The sequence below is a fragment of the Homo sapiens genome, chromosome 2 (assembly GCF_000001405.40).
Source record: "Homo sapiens chromosome 2, GRCh38.p14 Primary Assembly".
Lineage (NCBI taxonomy): Eukaryota > Metazoa > Chordata > Mammalia > Primates > Hominidae > Homo > Homo sapiens.
In genome coordinates, this window is record NC_000002.12 from 180986101 (window position 1) to 181001502 (window position 15402).

Consider the following 15402-nt stretch of genomic DNA (forward strand, 5'->3'; position numbering starts at 1 on the left):
AACTTTGGGCTTTCTGTGAACAGTAACATGGAACACCTCATCCCTGCTTTCCCTTGTCACAACCTGTGATGACTATCAACTGCTGCAAATGACATCTTTCAGTTCTCAGGTTCTTTTAATAGATGAGTTTATGTGTGGCTGTGGTATGTGAAAAACAGACATACAGTATGTCTTAGTAGGGAACCAGGATAAGTGGTTTCTTATTATTTGGAGGCAGTGTTTTACCATATGCCTCACATGTAAAATATCCAGATACTTTGTCTTCAAATTCTTGTGGGTGGAAGAAGACCTAGTTTTTGTCCTTGAGTAGGAATTGGAATACTGAGTGTTTAGTAAAGGTGTTTTAGAACTTTGACAAATAAAAAGCCTGAATTTGTATTGTATTTTTGCCTTCATGTCAGATCTGTGACAGACTGTGGTGTTATGTTCTTTTAATTGACAAGTGCGTAAATGAGAATTTTAGCTTTACGGTGATTGTACAGTTTAAATTTATTAATTTATGCTATAATTAAAAATGGAATCTATATTCATAAATTCTAGAATATGTGAATTCATATTGCCTGAGATCTATGAAACCTAATACATTTGGCTTTCGTGTGTAGTTATTTAATCAGAATTCCATTACAGTTTTGAATATGATTTTTACAAGCTTGTCAAAGTACATGACAGATTTAATTCTTCCTCAGGGAAGAAATGTAAAGTATATCTGTGTACATTCAGGAAAAAGTTGAATGAAACACAAGAAAACTCAGCAAAACCAAAATTATTCAGACTGGGATGATTTCTCTAAAATCCCTTCCTGTGTTTTAATTAATGAAATATTCTTTAATTAGTATATAGTTATGTCTAGTACATACATACCCAGGGTGATCTTAAGATAGATTTAATTGAATTGTGTATGGCTTTATACATGTTTTAATATATTTTGATAGCATTGATATTTCTTTTCCCGATAGTGTAAAAGTTTGATAATGACGTTATTTCCAGTGATTTGATGTTATTTTAAATGGTTTTAGGTATTGGAGGGCCATGGGCCATAGTGTACTAAACATAGGGATATGTTTATTTATTGGTTTCAGTTTATGCTGTTTACATAAAGTATAAATAATTTATACATCAATGAGAGTCAAGGGAAATTGTGTTATGGGCATTTCCCTATTTGTATTTATTGAGAATTGTTGACTAGAATTGTTTAGTGATGTGTTATTAAGACATTTACTTTCCATCTGTTTCCCAGAGGGTGTCCTTGTCCTCTCCTAGTCACCACTTGTGCAAACAGCGAAAGTTTAGAAAGGTACTGGATTTCTAACTTAACCCCTAATTTCTTTCCATATAGGAAGAAGCACAAATATACTGACGAATATTTTAAGAGTGTATGTTCAGATTGAATCTATACTGGAGATATTTGGGGGTATTTGTATTAATAAATAGTTTCTTGATGTGGGAAAGGCCATATTGGGGGATATGTATTACAGTTTCAAGTTAATAGTATTAATATATTGACTAGCAAAACCTGAGATCAGGTGATTTCGTTGACTTTCTTCTTTAAAAATAAAAAAATAATGAAATCATAAAAGAAGCAGTTGTTTCTAAACCAGTAGTTGATAATCTCTAGATTCCTCATTAGCCTAATTGTCTGAGGATAAATTCTGCTTTCTTCTGAGGGTTGCTACCACTTTCCATCATTTTCTAGGGCGGACTAGAACTTTGCTACTTAAAAGAGTGAGCTGCTGACTGTCAGCATCTGCGTCACAGATGAGGTTGTTAGAAATGCAGACTCTTGCTTCCCCCAACCCCCAACCCAGAATTTGAATTTAACAAGATTCCTGGTGAATTGTATATATAAGTAGGTTTGAAAAGTGCTGGTACTGGAGCAAGACTGTCTGGTTTCAGATCCATGCTCTGTCACTAACTTGCTATGTTATTACCTTAGATACATTTTGGAATATTTCGGTTCTTCTCCTCAGTTGTAAAGTGGGGATTAAAATGATACCCCCCTTTATAATAGGGTTATTGTGAGGATTAAATGACTTAATGTGTTTAAGTTTTGTAGCAGTGTAAATCGAGTCAGTAAAGTGGCCACAGCAAGATAAAAATGGGAGAGACAGTGTAGCCTGTAGTGATGTGCTCTCACTGTTGCTGGCATTTTCTCTAGTGCATTGACATCTTATGTAATTTTATCTTAGTCAGTTCACCAGATAATTGAGTACAAGTACATAACAAGCAATTTGTTTTTTAATGTCAGTAAAAGCAGTTCCTAGGAACTTGCGTAAAAAAGAAAATTAGCCTAAAAACTTCAGGCATAGATGAACAAATATTGTATTCCTTTTAAAGGAACATGCATAAGATTAATGATATTTAATTCAATAGAGAATATTATGATTGTCCAGTAAAGTATAATAAACAATTTTTAGATGAGTAATGATTATATTTTCCCCTTTTAAAATAGAAGAATTTGTGATTTTACTGTGAATGGGATTATATCAGCAGTTGTAAAATTCACATTCTGGATTGCTGTTACCTGCATTACCTAACCCCATAGCATTCTTTCCATGTCTGTGAACTAAGGAGAAATTTTGAAAGCTTTTTTCTAATTGGCGTATGAAAGCAGGTAATAATTGAAATAACATGTGATCCCTATATTAGCTTTGTTGGTTGCTTATAGAGTACTTGGTTTTAAACTCTCTCACACATGTAGATAGACTGCTTTTTCTTCTTTACTTAATACATTTGATTGTTTTTGTTTTAGTGTTTGCTACAAGATTGTATCTCATTAGTTATCTAGTCCTTTTATTTTCAATTCTTCAAAAAAAAAGGTCCTGGAACCCGCTTTTTATAAAAATTAAATCTTAATTGGAAGCTCGACTGTAAAACAGATAAATACAGAACTACTCTGACAAAGTATTTTTCATCCCATTATGCCGTGGGTGGTCATCTACAGATAGTTTGTATTATTAGTTTTATTGTTAATAAATTCATTTTGGCATCAGCATAAACCTCAAAAATCATGAGGGTTTTTCTGGGGACTTGGGCGTTAGTGATAATTTTAAATGGTTTATGATCAAAGCAAATTGACGTTTTATTTTTCAACAAGCTAATAGTTTCTTCAACACAACTGTAATAAAGTACTTTTTTCATGCTGTATTATAATATTTGTCTGCTTTCTGCAAGAGCGAGTGTTCCTTGAATGGAGAGATTGTCTCATTCATTTTTGTATCTTTTCCTTACTTCACATGGTGCTTTGCATGTGAAGGTCTGTTAATAAATAAATTGAAGTCTCTCAAATTGACATAGAAATAGCAATTCCAGGCAAAACAATGACTTCAGAGAAAATTTATTAAATATCCTATACATTCTTTACCTTTTTCATAATTATGATACTTAATATTTAATAACCTATTCAAAGTTTACCTAGCTACTGTTTTTGCTTATAAGAGGAAATTGATACTCACAGTAGGCCTAGTTATTTCCTCCATACGTGCCAGTGTAGCAGAAATACTCAGTACTCTGTGTGACTGGAAACATTTTCCAAAAGAGTGACCAACTGAAAATAATATTCTTCCCACTAAACTTCACATTTTTATTAAGGATCTATTAAGTTCAATGCAGATAATGTAATTAGAAGGTGGGTAAAACAGCATGTGCTTTTAAAAAAAGTTATATGTTTACTTCGCAGCTACATGCTCACATAACCAGTCATATTCCTCTCATAACCAATTAGTACTTTATGCTCTCCTTAAATGAGTTGCTGTAACAACAGATGGATATGTTTACTTTTCAGGAAAATCAGCAAGTCTTGCATAGAGTGTAAGGACATTCAGATTGAGAATGAAGAACTTGTCCTTTCAGTCTCTTCTTCCCTATCAATATGAGATAAAAACATAATAAAATCACTTGTAAATCTAGAGAAATAGAAAGTGATTTTTTTTTCCACATACCAATTTTGACAGGTAAGTATATTTGGGCATTTTAATTGGAATCTGGAAGCTGAAACATCTTCAAACTTTTAACCTTTCTTTTGCCTTTTGATCAGTGGTTCTCAACTGAGGCAATTTTTGTCCTCCCCTTCCCCAGCCACCAGGCTAGGCGACAATTGGTAATGCCCAGAGATATTTTTTGCTTTTCATAACTGAAGGAGAAGGGGGCTACCACTGACATTAGTAGGTAGACGTCAGTGGTACTGCTGAATACCCTGTAATACATAGGACAGACCCCCACAATAAAGAATTATCTGGGCCAAAATGTCTAGTGCTGAAGTTGAGAGACCCTCCTATAGATATTTGTTCCTGTACTTTGCCTCTTGAATTTTTGAATAGTTTGCTTTTGACTGTTTTCCTGTCTTATTAGTGATGCATCCTTAATATATTCACCTACACCTTCCTCAGCTGATTCTTCACTTCCTGCTACTTCTATGCGTAGTTTACATATGTCTTATATTATTTGTCATACGTGTGTGTTATTTTTTATGTGAAACCACAGGAATGACTACCTTGAGTACTTGCTAAATTATGGTCTTCTGAGGCCAGAAATGCTTACAGCAGTATTTTATTTCTTTTAGGTCTTGTGCCAGTTAATTATATCCCTGCGTGATCTAGCTTTAGGCTGGTTATATCTATTATGTTCTACTAGGAGTACTAAAGTAACATCATGGAGAAATAACATTGGACAGTCATCAAAATTCAGTTTGACATTGAATTACACACAGGTTAGAAATGTGTGCTCTTCATTTGGGTTTTATTTTCATCATTATGACAATACACAAGTTACTTCAATTTTTACAAGTTCACAATCCTTTATTTGAAACCCTTGGGGCCAGATGTGTTTCAGAATGCAGAAAGTTTCATGTTTTAGAAAGGTAGTATGATGTGTTTGTGGTACTTTATGTAATCTGTTCCACAGTAATGTTTCTCGACATTACTGTTTCCACACCAAAAATGTATTAATATTCATACAGGTGGAATAAGTGGAAGCTACAAATAGTTTCAAGTCAGTTCACATTTAGGGTTGCTACCAAATTATTTTGTAACAACCTTATTAAAAAACCTTTGATTTTTTTTTCTTTTTTTTCAGAGTTTTGGGATTCTAGAATTGTAGATAAGCAGTTATGGCCCTCTATAATAGTTCCCCCTTATCTGTGGGGAATACATTTCAAGACTCCCTAGTGGATGCCTGAAAGTTGAGATAGTATTGATTATATACTGTGTTTTTTCCTATACATACATACCTATGATACGTTTACATAAGGGTTACAAATTAGGCACAGCAAGAGATTAACAACTTCCCATTGGCATATCCAAACTGCCAGCATCACTACTCTTGGGCTTTGGAGCCATTGTTAAGTAAAATGAGGGTTGTTTGAAAATAAGCACTGCAGTAGTCTATAACCGATTTTGATAGTGGAGTCTGATAGCCAAGACCACTACCAAGTGACTAGAGCAAGCTTGTTCTACCTGCGGCCCTTGGGCCACCTGGTGGCCAGGATGTCTTTGATTGTGGCACAACACAAACTCATAAACTTTCTTAAAACATGAGATTTTTTTTGCGATTTTGTTTGTTTGTTTTTTTAGCTCATCAGCTATTGTTAGTGTTAGTGTATTTTATGTGTGGCCCAAGAGAGTTCTGCTGCTGCTGCTGTGGCCCAGGGAAACCAAAAGATTGGACACTCCTGGACTAGAGCATATACAGTATGGATAAACTGGACAAAAGTATGATTCAAGCCCAAGTGGATGGAGCAGGGCAATGTGAGATTTCATCGTGCTACTTAGAATGAGGTACGATTTAAAACTTAAGAATTATTTCTGGAATTTTTCCATTTAATATTTTTGGACTGTGGTTGACCTAGAGTAGCTGGAACTGTGGAAAGTGGAACTGCACAGATAGGTAGGGACTGCTCTGCTACTTCTGTTACGTGACCATGACTGAAATTACTTACTACTCATGATGAAAGGGTATTTTCATTTGCTTTGCTTTCTTTTTTACCTGTTTCCTAATAGCTGATTTTGGTTTCTCAGTTGTTGTTTTTGGTTTGTTGGGTTTTTTGTCTTGTAACTTGTATGCTTAAGAGTTCTTTTCTCTTAAGGTGAAACTATCAGTGTCTACTCGTTTTTAAGTTGTTCTTTGTTTACTGGGTTGTTTTTCCACTTTGCTTTCAAATACTCTTTTAATCATTCCATTCATTCTAGATACACAGTATTACACAGAAAGGAAGATAATCTTTAATTCTTAAACACAAGTATTAAGTAATACTTAATACTTTGGATGTATTTTGCCTTGCATTATTTAAGTGCAATTAGACTATAAAAGGAGATGTTAAATTTTTCTGGTTGTGTTGTGATTACAAACAAACCTAGAAGGCTCAGTGGCTCAATGTATAAAGATTTATTTCTCACTCATGTGAAGACCACTGTGGGTCCAGGGACTATCTTGGGCAGCTCTTCTCTGTGTTGACTTATATCTGTGTATCTTGTAGCTCTGACATTTGGAACATATGCCTCAAGCAATCCTCCCACCTCAGCCTTCCGAGTAGCTGGGACTACAGGCGCACCCCACCATGCCTGACTAACTTTTTTTTTCTTTTTGGAGACAGAGTCTCACTCTGTTACCCAGGCTAGAGTGAAATGGCGCAATGTCAGCTCACCGCAACCTCTGCCTCCCGGGTTCAAGCAATTCTCCTGCCTCAGCCTCCCGAGTAGCTGGGACTGTAGGCATGTGCCACCACACTCAACTAATTTTGTATTTTTTTTTTAGTAGAGACAGGGTTTCACCATGTTGATCAGGCTGGGATTTGCTTTTTCCAGTGAGTCTCTTTGGAAGAGTGGCTGCTCCACTTTACAAAACAGAACTAATGTTCTCAGGGCAACCTACCACATTTATATATTTCATTTTAAATTGATGACATTAATGAGTTTTATGAATCAAATATGTGCCTTGCATCTTGTCTAAATGCAGTAGTAAAGTTAAATTGTAAAGCCTTGGGATTTTTATCTCTGTTGACATTCTATCAGTTTTATAAGGGTGTATAGAGAAATAACAAAAGCTTGTTTATCACATCTGTTTTGGATGTGCCCGTCGGTAGGTGGTGATAAAGTAATACCAATAGTGAGGATCAGCTTAGGGTCATTCAATTTGTAAAAATCCCAGTTCCTTCTTTTTGGTCCTTGATGTATATAATACTTGTTTTAACTTTATGGTTATTCACAACAAATGAAGCTTTGAAAGGAACTGTGGTGTAGTCTGCCTTTTTTGGAAGCTTTTGGACTAGTTATGCCATTCCAAAGTTTTTTTGCTGCTTTAGTGTTCCAGAGCAAATATACTCTGTCATTCTGTTTAACTTCCAGCTTGTCTGGGGAAAAATAAAGACATCTCTAGTCCAAAATTGCTTTTGGGAGTATAGTTCCACATCTTTTGGTCTGAATGAAAGGCCTAGGGAAACATGAATTTTGTTACCTTTTTATTTTATTTTCCTTCACTTATAAATCATCATCATGATCCCCCTTTACATCCATGCGTCTCACTTTTTATAAACACTGTTTATTCCCTTTCTGAGGATGGTTATTTGTAGTTAGTTTTGCCATTTACAGTCTTATAGGTCCTTTACAAATGGATCATTTTCTCACATTAAATTCTAGTAGGTCAAGAATCCATTTATTCAGGGTCCCGAAGAGAATCGATCTCAGAAGATTGTGGCTACATATTTTTTATGGCTTCCTATTGCTTTCTGTAGTCTTCTTAATTTAAACAGTAGCAACAGCAAAATATAGAGGGTACCATAAGGCATTGGCTTTATGATTTATTCTTGCCTCATACTTGTTTCTTAGGGTATTGGTGTTATTTGTTAGATTTGTGATATATATGCTTGTACTAAATTTACCTGGTATCACAATGAGAAGAAACCTGGCATTTGAAGGCTTTGAACGCAAACTCAGAGACATGTAATTTATATGGAATTCAATGGCAGTTTTAACTAGTGTGCCTTTAATTTTTCTTCATTTTATGTTTACACCAGTGTCCTTGTAAAATTTTAAAAGACATTTTTCTCATCTTCCCAGGTGCTTACTATCCACATTTCCATTAGAAGATGCCAAATACTCATTTTCTTCTTTTGAAAACCCTAAAATAAGCACGTTGCAATTATCACTTTTCCCTTCTGCCGAGGTTTCTTAATTTTGGAGAACTTGAAACATATGCAAAAGTAAACAGGCTGGTATGATGAACCCCCATATATATAACCTTTATCCAGTTTCAGTAGTTACCTAATCATGGCTAATCTGGCTTCATCTATGCCTCCGTCCATTTCACCCTCCCATTATTACATTAAAAAAATCTCAGACATCATTTCATCTATATCTTAAAACATGCAAGTATTTCACTATGCACTTTCAAAAGATAAGACTCCTTTTAACCATTGTGACATCAGCATGCCTAAAAATTTTCAGTAGCTCCGTAATCAGTCATTGTTTAGGTTTACAAATGGGTGTTGTCCTTCCTTCCCCACAGTTATTTGAGTGAGGATACAAATAAAGTCCAGTTGACCTTTGAACAGCATGGATTTGAACGAGTGGGTTCATTTATACACGACTTTTTTCAATAAATGTATTGGAAAAATATTTAGAGATTTACAATTTGAAAGAAACTTGCAGGTGAATGGTGTAGCCTAGAAATAGTGAAAATATTAGGAAAATATTAAGAATCCACAAAATATATGTGGATACTAGTCTGTTTTATCATTTACTGCTATGAGATACACACAAACCTATTATAAAAAGTTAGAATTTATCAAAACTTACACAGTCATTTACAGACCACACATGGTGCCATTTGGAGTCAAGAGAATCGTTAATGTAAATATTAAATCGTAACTGCATAAAATTAACTATAACATACTGTATTACTGCAGTAATTTTGTAGCCACCTCCTGTTGCTGTTGCAGTGGGCTCTAGTGTTGCAAGTATCTTCTTAAAACACTATGTGATGCTAATCATTTCTGTATAAACAGTTCATCACTCCAGTAAATTGTGTATTGCGGTAAAAAGTGATTTCTCCTGGTTCTCGTGTGTATTTTACTGTGTTTCGTGCAATACTGTAAATAACACCATGGGACCCATGGTGTTAGTGGCACTAGTGATGCTGGAAATGCTCCCAAGAAGCAGAGAAAAGTCATGACTTTACAAGAAAAAGTTGTAATTGCTTGACATGTACTGTAGGTTGAGATCTGCAGCTGTAGGTGCCTGCCATTTCAGACAAGCTTACAATATTGATAAATACAGTATAGTACTGTAAATGTATTTTATCTCCCTTATGATTTTCCTTTGCTTATTTTACTATAAGAATACAGTATGTAATACATGTAACATACAAAACGTTTCTGTTATTGGTAAGGCTTCAGGTCAAGAATAGGCTATTAAGTTTTTGGGGGCATCAGAAGTTATACTCAGGTTTTTTCCTTTTTTTCTAATCTATAAGGTTCTCAGTGTTGTCTTCATTTTTGCAATTTATTTATTGAAGAAACTGGGCTGAGTTTCCTTAGAGTCTGTTTTGCTTATTGGATTTCTGTGGTATAGTTTAATATCTTTCTTCATCCTTAGTGTTTCTTGTATGTTTGGGAGTTAGATCAAGAGGCTTGATCAAATTCAGGCTGGATTTTTTTTTTTTTTTCTGACAGCTACCACTTTTTGTTTGTTTGTTTTGTTTTAACGAAACAAAACTCCTGGTGTGCTTTTCTATCAAAAGGCACCTAAGATCTGGTTGTTTTTCTGTGATGTTAGCAGCCATTGGAATACAGCTCTAAACAGAAACTTATTCTCATCTCCTATTTGGTTACCTGGTCATACATGGTAAAGGTAAGATATGTGCTTAATTTTTTTGTCTTACCAGTTTTTTCTTCTTTTTCAAAATAATGAGTTGGTGTCCTAGTATCCTTTTCAGAATGATTGTCACTTCATAATTGTATTTCAACCCATTGTAGTACTTCAGTATATTGCTGTTATCATCTTTATAGAATTTCTTAATTTAAAAAAAACTTCAGCTTAAATTGCTTTGCTCTAGGAAACCTTAGAGGGTAAAAGTCATATGGACCTATTTGGTGTATAACAATGCGAGTACATACATTCAACTTAACCATTGCTCTAGGTATTATTTTGAAAACTGAATACTTATTGAAGCTGTTGTTTCAAACATGACATTCTCCTAGCCACTTCCTTGTCAGTTGTCAGAGATAATTAAGTCTTGGCATTAGGAGAACTGAGAGATCTTTATTATAACTATAGGTCTGCTTTAAGTTTTGAATTAAACTGAGGGGGTAGTTTAAGGTAGAACGCAAACCTTTATCAGAATCAAATTAATTTGTCACAATAATTGAACTTAAATATTAACCCTGTTGTTAATATACAAGAAGCATCCTCCTTTGTTTAGTGTTTCTCATCAGGGGCATCTTGGTTATTTTTGACTGGATTGTGCTTTGACTTGGAAGACATTGAACATCCTCAGACTCTGCTGACTAAATGCTATGTTCTGGCCACCAAAACCTGCCTCTTCCCCCCCATTTCCAGGTATCTTGGAGGGGAGGGGCTGTCACTTGGCACTTGCAAATTACTGGCCTAGATTCCACATTGTAGTGATAGCAAATCATAATGCTGTAAGAAACCAATTTTATATAGCATTACTTTGAGTAATATATAATAATTTGTAATAGTTGTGTTTCTTACATAAAATGTATGTTGACCAAGATACATTTGTGTGATTTTTACTGCATATGTAATTGTCTGATATGCAAAAAAAAATTTCTTCCTCTAGCCCTTTAGTTTTTACACCTCCCCGCAATTCTGAACCCTCATAGTACATTTGAACTTTGTGCATGAGCTTAATGTGTACGTATGCACACATGGCTCTTATAAATATGTGACTCTGTGTATCCCTTTGATCTTTTTATTATTAATGAATTTTTTTTTTTCCACTTACAGGGAAACTTGTGTTCTTAAAAGGATTTCTGTTACCCCATTGCCTCAAACTACACTTTTTTTTTTTACCCTTCTAATCTCTCTTCAATTATTTAACCTCTTTCCTTTTCTAAGAGATTTTTTTAAGCTCATTTAATTCTTTCATCTTTTTCTACTTATTATCCACTATCCAGCTTCCCATTTATCTATCTCTATTTATTTTTTTTCTGTCCACTTTTGTGTCTTATATTTCTTTCATATTTTTGTTATCTGGCTTTTCCTCTTTCATTTTATTTTAGAAAGGTCATTTGGTAATACTAGCTGTTAGTATTTTTTCATATGACTTATTCTGTTTCTTTTTTGTTTTGTATGCGCATGTTCTCTTCAGTTTCATCTTCTTTCCTGATGTACTTGAAATGTGTCTTCTTTCTCCCACTCTCCTTAGTATTTAGTATTTCTTCATGTATGTGATATATATTCTTTTTTCACCCTTGTGTTGTTTATCCCTTCTCATCTCCCCTAGGCTCTCATGCCACATTGTATCACAGCTGCTTTTTGGTGATGGATTTCCCTTAGAATCCTAGTGGTTGTCTATCAAAAGTACCTGCATTTAGCTCTCTTAATTTATCTTTATTTTTATCTTATCTTTATTTTTTCTTCCATTATGTAGAAAAGTCTTATGTTGTAGCAAAAGTATTGTTTCCTATTACCTGAGTAAAAGTTGGGTTTTCTAGATTCTGCATCTTTGTTTACATCTCTCGTTGCCTAGGATGGCTTTCATCCTTCAAGTGGTAGTGATCTTTTAAAGCCTATTTCAGATGTTACATCTTTTTGTGAAGCCCTTCCTGCACATATCTCTTTTGAGAGACATTTGTACTACTAATATTTAATTCACTGGTATTGCCTCTTGTCATGTACCCTTTCATCCCAGCTGAACCGGGCACTAGGACTGGGTATAGCTCTTATATTTCTTTATATTTTCATCTCGGTAAAATGCCGTAGCACTAACTATGAGAATAATTTTAATTAACTTAGTTGAAAGTAGTTCTGAAACTTGCCAGACTCAAAGTGTAGAGCACAACAGCAACTGTGCTTGACCGTACTCCTTGGTTTACATCTATTGTCTTGACAAAAATATTAATAGCATTTCCTTTCACTTTTAGAAATACTCGAGTTTGTATGATAAATTTTAGGTTCACTTTACCCTCATGCTATAAATTGGTGGTGTTCTGGTTGGACTTGGTGAATCAGGAGATTGTATAATCAACAATTACCCAAAGCAGAGATTCTGATTTAGTAGGCCAAGGGTGGCCTACTAAATGTGCATTTTAAGAAGGCATGTCTAAGGATTCAGGTAGTAGTGTGAGAAGCAGTACTCTGTTTCTGGTACTGAGGCTAATGGTCTTAGTTGGGATAAGGAGAGTGGGGAAGGGGCAGGGGGAGATGATGAAATTCATTTATCCTCTGTGATGCTATGGAAGAACAATTAAGATCATGTTTCCTACTTGATTTTAGTTGCTAGTCATTTCTTAATCTAAGCACCCCCTATAATTTACCTATGTCATCATGCAAAATCACCATTGGTAATAATGTGGGGGCGGGGGAAGTCTATACAAGAATATTAAGGCCCTGTGCGTGAGCATGTCTATAGTTAAAGACTTAATGAGAAAGCATCAAATTGTGGTGCAAACAGCTGAAAGTAGAAGTAAATCAGAACGTAATAAGATGCAACTTTGGAGGAGCTCAAAGCAACAGATACGTTTTTATCCAAAAAGGAGTAAAACAAAAAAATCGTCAACGGCAGTTCCTTCAGATAATCAACAGATGATTCATTTGAAAACCATAATTAACTAGGTTGTTTGTAAAATAACTTTTTTCAATTTATACTTTTTAATGTTTATTAAATTACTTTTCTCTATAGATATGCAGATAAGATGTTTTAAATGTGTAAGTGGTATAAATGTCCCATGTGTCTTTTATTCTAGAGCATAAGAAAAGATGGGAAGCTACCTCAAACTTGTTTTGAGGCAAATGTAGTATGAATCCCTAAACATAACACCAGTACTGCTAAATGACAGTTATCTAATCTCACTGATGAACAAGAATATGAAAATTATAAAAGGTCGAATTTATTTATTATGATAAGAGAATAATACCCCTCCACAAAGGGTATTACATGACCGCAAAGAATGGCAGTTCCTAGTACTCTGACGTTCCACAGTAGGCTAAAGAAGAAAAACTGAACATTTCAAGAAATACCACAATACCAAAAAAAGCATTTGGTATAGTTTATCTCCTCACCAGTTGTGAGCCTTTTGGTTGTTTCCACCTTTTGGGTACTGTGAATAGTGTTGCTGTGAAGGATTCACAAATACACATCTGTTTGAATACGTGGTTTTATTTCTTCACTGTATATTCCTAGGAGTGGAATTGCTGTGTCATATGATAATTTCTCTGTCTTTGTGAGGAAACATTGAACTGCTTTTCACAAAAGCTGTACCATTTTACTTTCCCAGCGGCGTATGAGGGTTCCAATTTGTCCACATCCTTGCCATACTTATTTTTTGTTTTTTTTCATTATAGGCACCCTCCCGCCCTCCACCCCTCCCAAAAAAAAAGAAAACCAAAATATAAAACAGACCTTGTTGTACATCAAGGACATCCACATGACTCAGATAAAGGGCTTTGGACTTAGACAAATGGAAGTTCAAGTCTTGGCTTTACAATTGAGTAACTGTAAAAGCTTGAGCAAGTTATCTCCTCTGATTCTCAGAAATGTGAATAATACCTGTTTCATCATTCTTAAGTGTTTTAGATATTATGTAACTGGTATATTTTACATATAATGATATAAAAAGCAGTTATATGGACAAATAAACAGGCATGTTTATGAAAGAACATTTTGAAAAATGAAGTATTAAAACCAGTTGTAATAACAAGATATACTTTTGAAAGTGGTTCTGGCCCACAAATAGCAATGATCAGTGATACAGAATAAAGAATATTAATACAGTTTGGTGATTGTTTTGTGTTTCCAGCTGCCTTTTGCAATTTTTGTTCTTGGCATTTAACCCAATTTCTAGATGTATTAGATACATACATATTTATAGTTTTAAAGTTTTGTTCACTAGGTGTTCAGAATAAGACTCACTGTATTATAAAACAAACACCTCTTTAAAAAATCTATTAAAGTAGCTTTCTACAACATGGGGTTAAGATTATTAAGTGACATTGGGATACATGAATAGTGATTTAAAAAACTGTTAATCACAACTTCTATAATCTAAACATAAGATGGATGAAAATCTTACATTTTGTAAAGGGTTAAGCTATTGGAAAACTTTGCAAATAGGCATATATATTACTGGTTGAATCTAAAATGTTAACACTGTACAACTCCAGGGGGTACCATTCATACTGTACTCTGTATTCAGCATAGCACAGCACAGAGTAAGTATAGTATAAATGGTATCCCCTGAGTTGTATAGTGTGGTGGCCAGGATTAGACCTTAAAGAATAACCTTTTTTTTTTTTTTTTGAGACAGAGTCTCGCTCTGTCGCCCAGGCTGCAGTGCAGTGGCTTGATCTCAGCTCACTGCAAGCTCTGTCTCCCGGGTTCACGCCATTCTCCTGCCTCAGCCTCCTGAGTAGCTGGGACTACAGGCGCCCACCACCACACCTGACTAATTTTTTGTATTTTTAGTAGAGATGGGGTTTCACCGTGTTAGCCAGGATGGTCTCGATCTCCTGATCGTGTGATCCGACCACCTCGGGCTTCCAAAGTGAGAGTAACTTTTTAAATTCATAAGCAAAATCGTAAAGGCATTGATTGAAACTGTTACGTAAAGTAAGAATTCTTGTGCTTTGAAAAGGAACAAAATTTTAAGCACATTAGCATTTGATGTGTGTTTAAAATATTTGCATCAACATTACAAATAATGTATGTTGTGCATCATCAACTCATATCAGTAATGAAGATATTAAGATTTACTGTGATGAGATGGAGAATATGACACACTGACTCTTAAAGAGGCAAAAATTGGAAACAACTTGGGACAATTTGCATTACTTGGACTCTTTCAGAAACCTGTTGAAAGTTTTGAACCACTACTTCAGAAGAATGCTTAAGAATTTTTGGTTTTCTGTACTCCAGAGTTCCTTTAAAGCTCTAGTGTTTTAGAAACATGAGTTACTACATTTAATGTAAATTAGAGTGAGGAAATGAAATGAGGTAAAATATGTCACTTAATCAGGAAAGAGAGGTGGGAGAGAAATACAGAGTAGCCTCCAGAAAGTTGAGAGCTTGGATTTCGAAAGTAGAATTTTCGAGCTTCTTAAATGGCTGGGGAAAAGAAACATACAATTATGTTTTGCCTTGAGTCCCAGAAGTCCTCCACCCCCCACACCCCCAACTGTGAATGTAGAGGGTGGGACATCAAGAAGTGGAAATACAACAAAAGAGACAATT

At 34.8% G+C, this 15402-nt stretch overlaps 1 protein-coding gene across 6 annotated transcripts in view, besides 1 other annotated feature; it reads left to right on the forward strand.

Moving 5' to 3' along the window:
- UBE2E3 (ubiquitin conjugating enzyme E2 E3) overlaps window positions 1-15402 on the forward strand; it is an 83066-nt gene that overhangs the window by 5741 nt on the left and 61923 nt on the right. Inside the window, exon 4 of one of the 6 annotated variants that reach the window (XM_017003167.3) lies at window positions 1238-1294. The exons of the other annotated variants lie outside the window; for them this stretch is intronic. Within the exon in view, the coding sequence (XP_016858656.1) occupies window positions 1238-1294 (57 nt within the window). The remainder of the gene's footprint in view (window positions 1-1237; window positions 1295-15402) is intronic. 6 annotated transcript variants of the gene reach the window in all.
- Window positions 144-223: an enhancer, noted in NCBI's record as "active region_16822". NCBI's record gives its function as "activates an Ori minimal core promoter by ATAC-STARR-seq in GM12878 lymphoblastoid cells {active_cell/tissue: GM12878}" and the evidence as "EXISTENCE:reporter gene assay evidence [ECO:0000049][PMID:35858748]".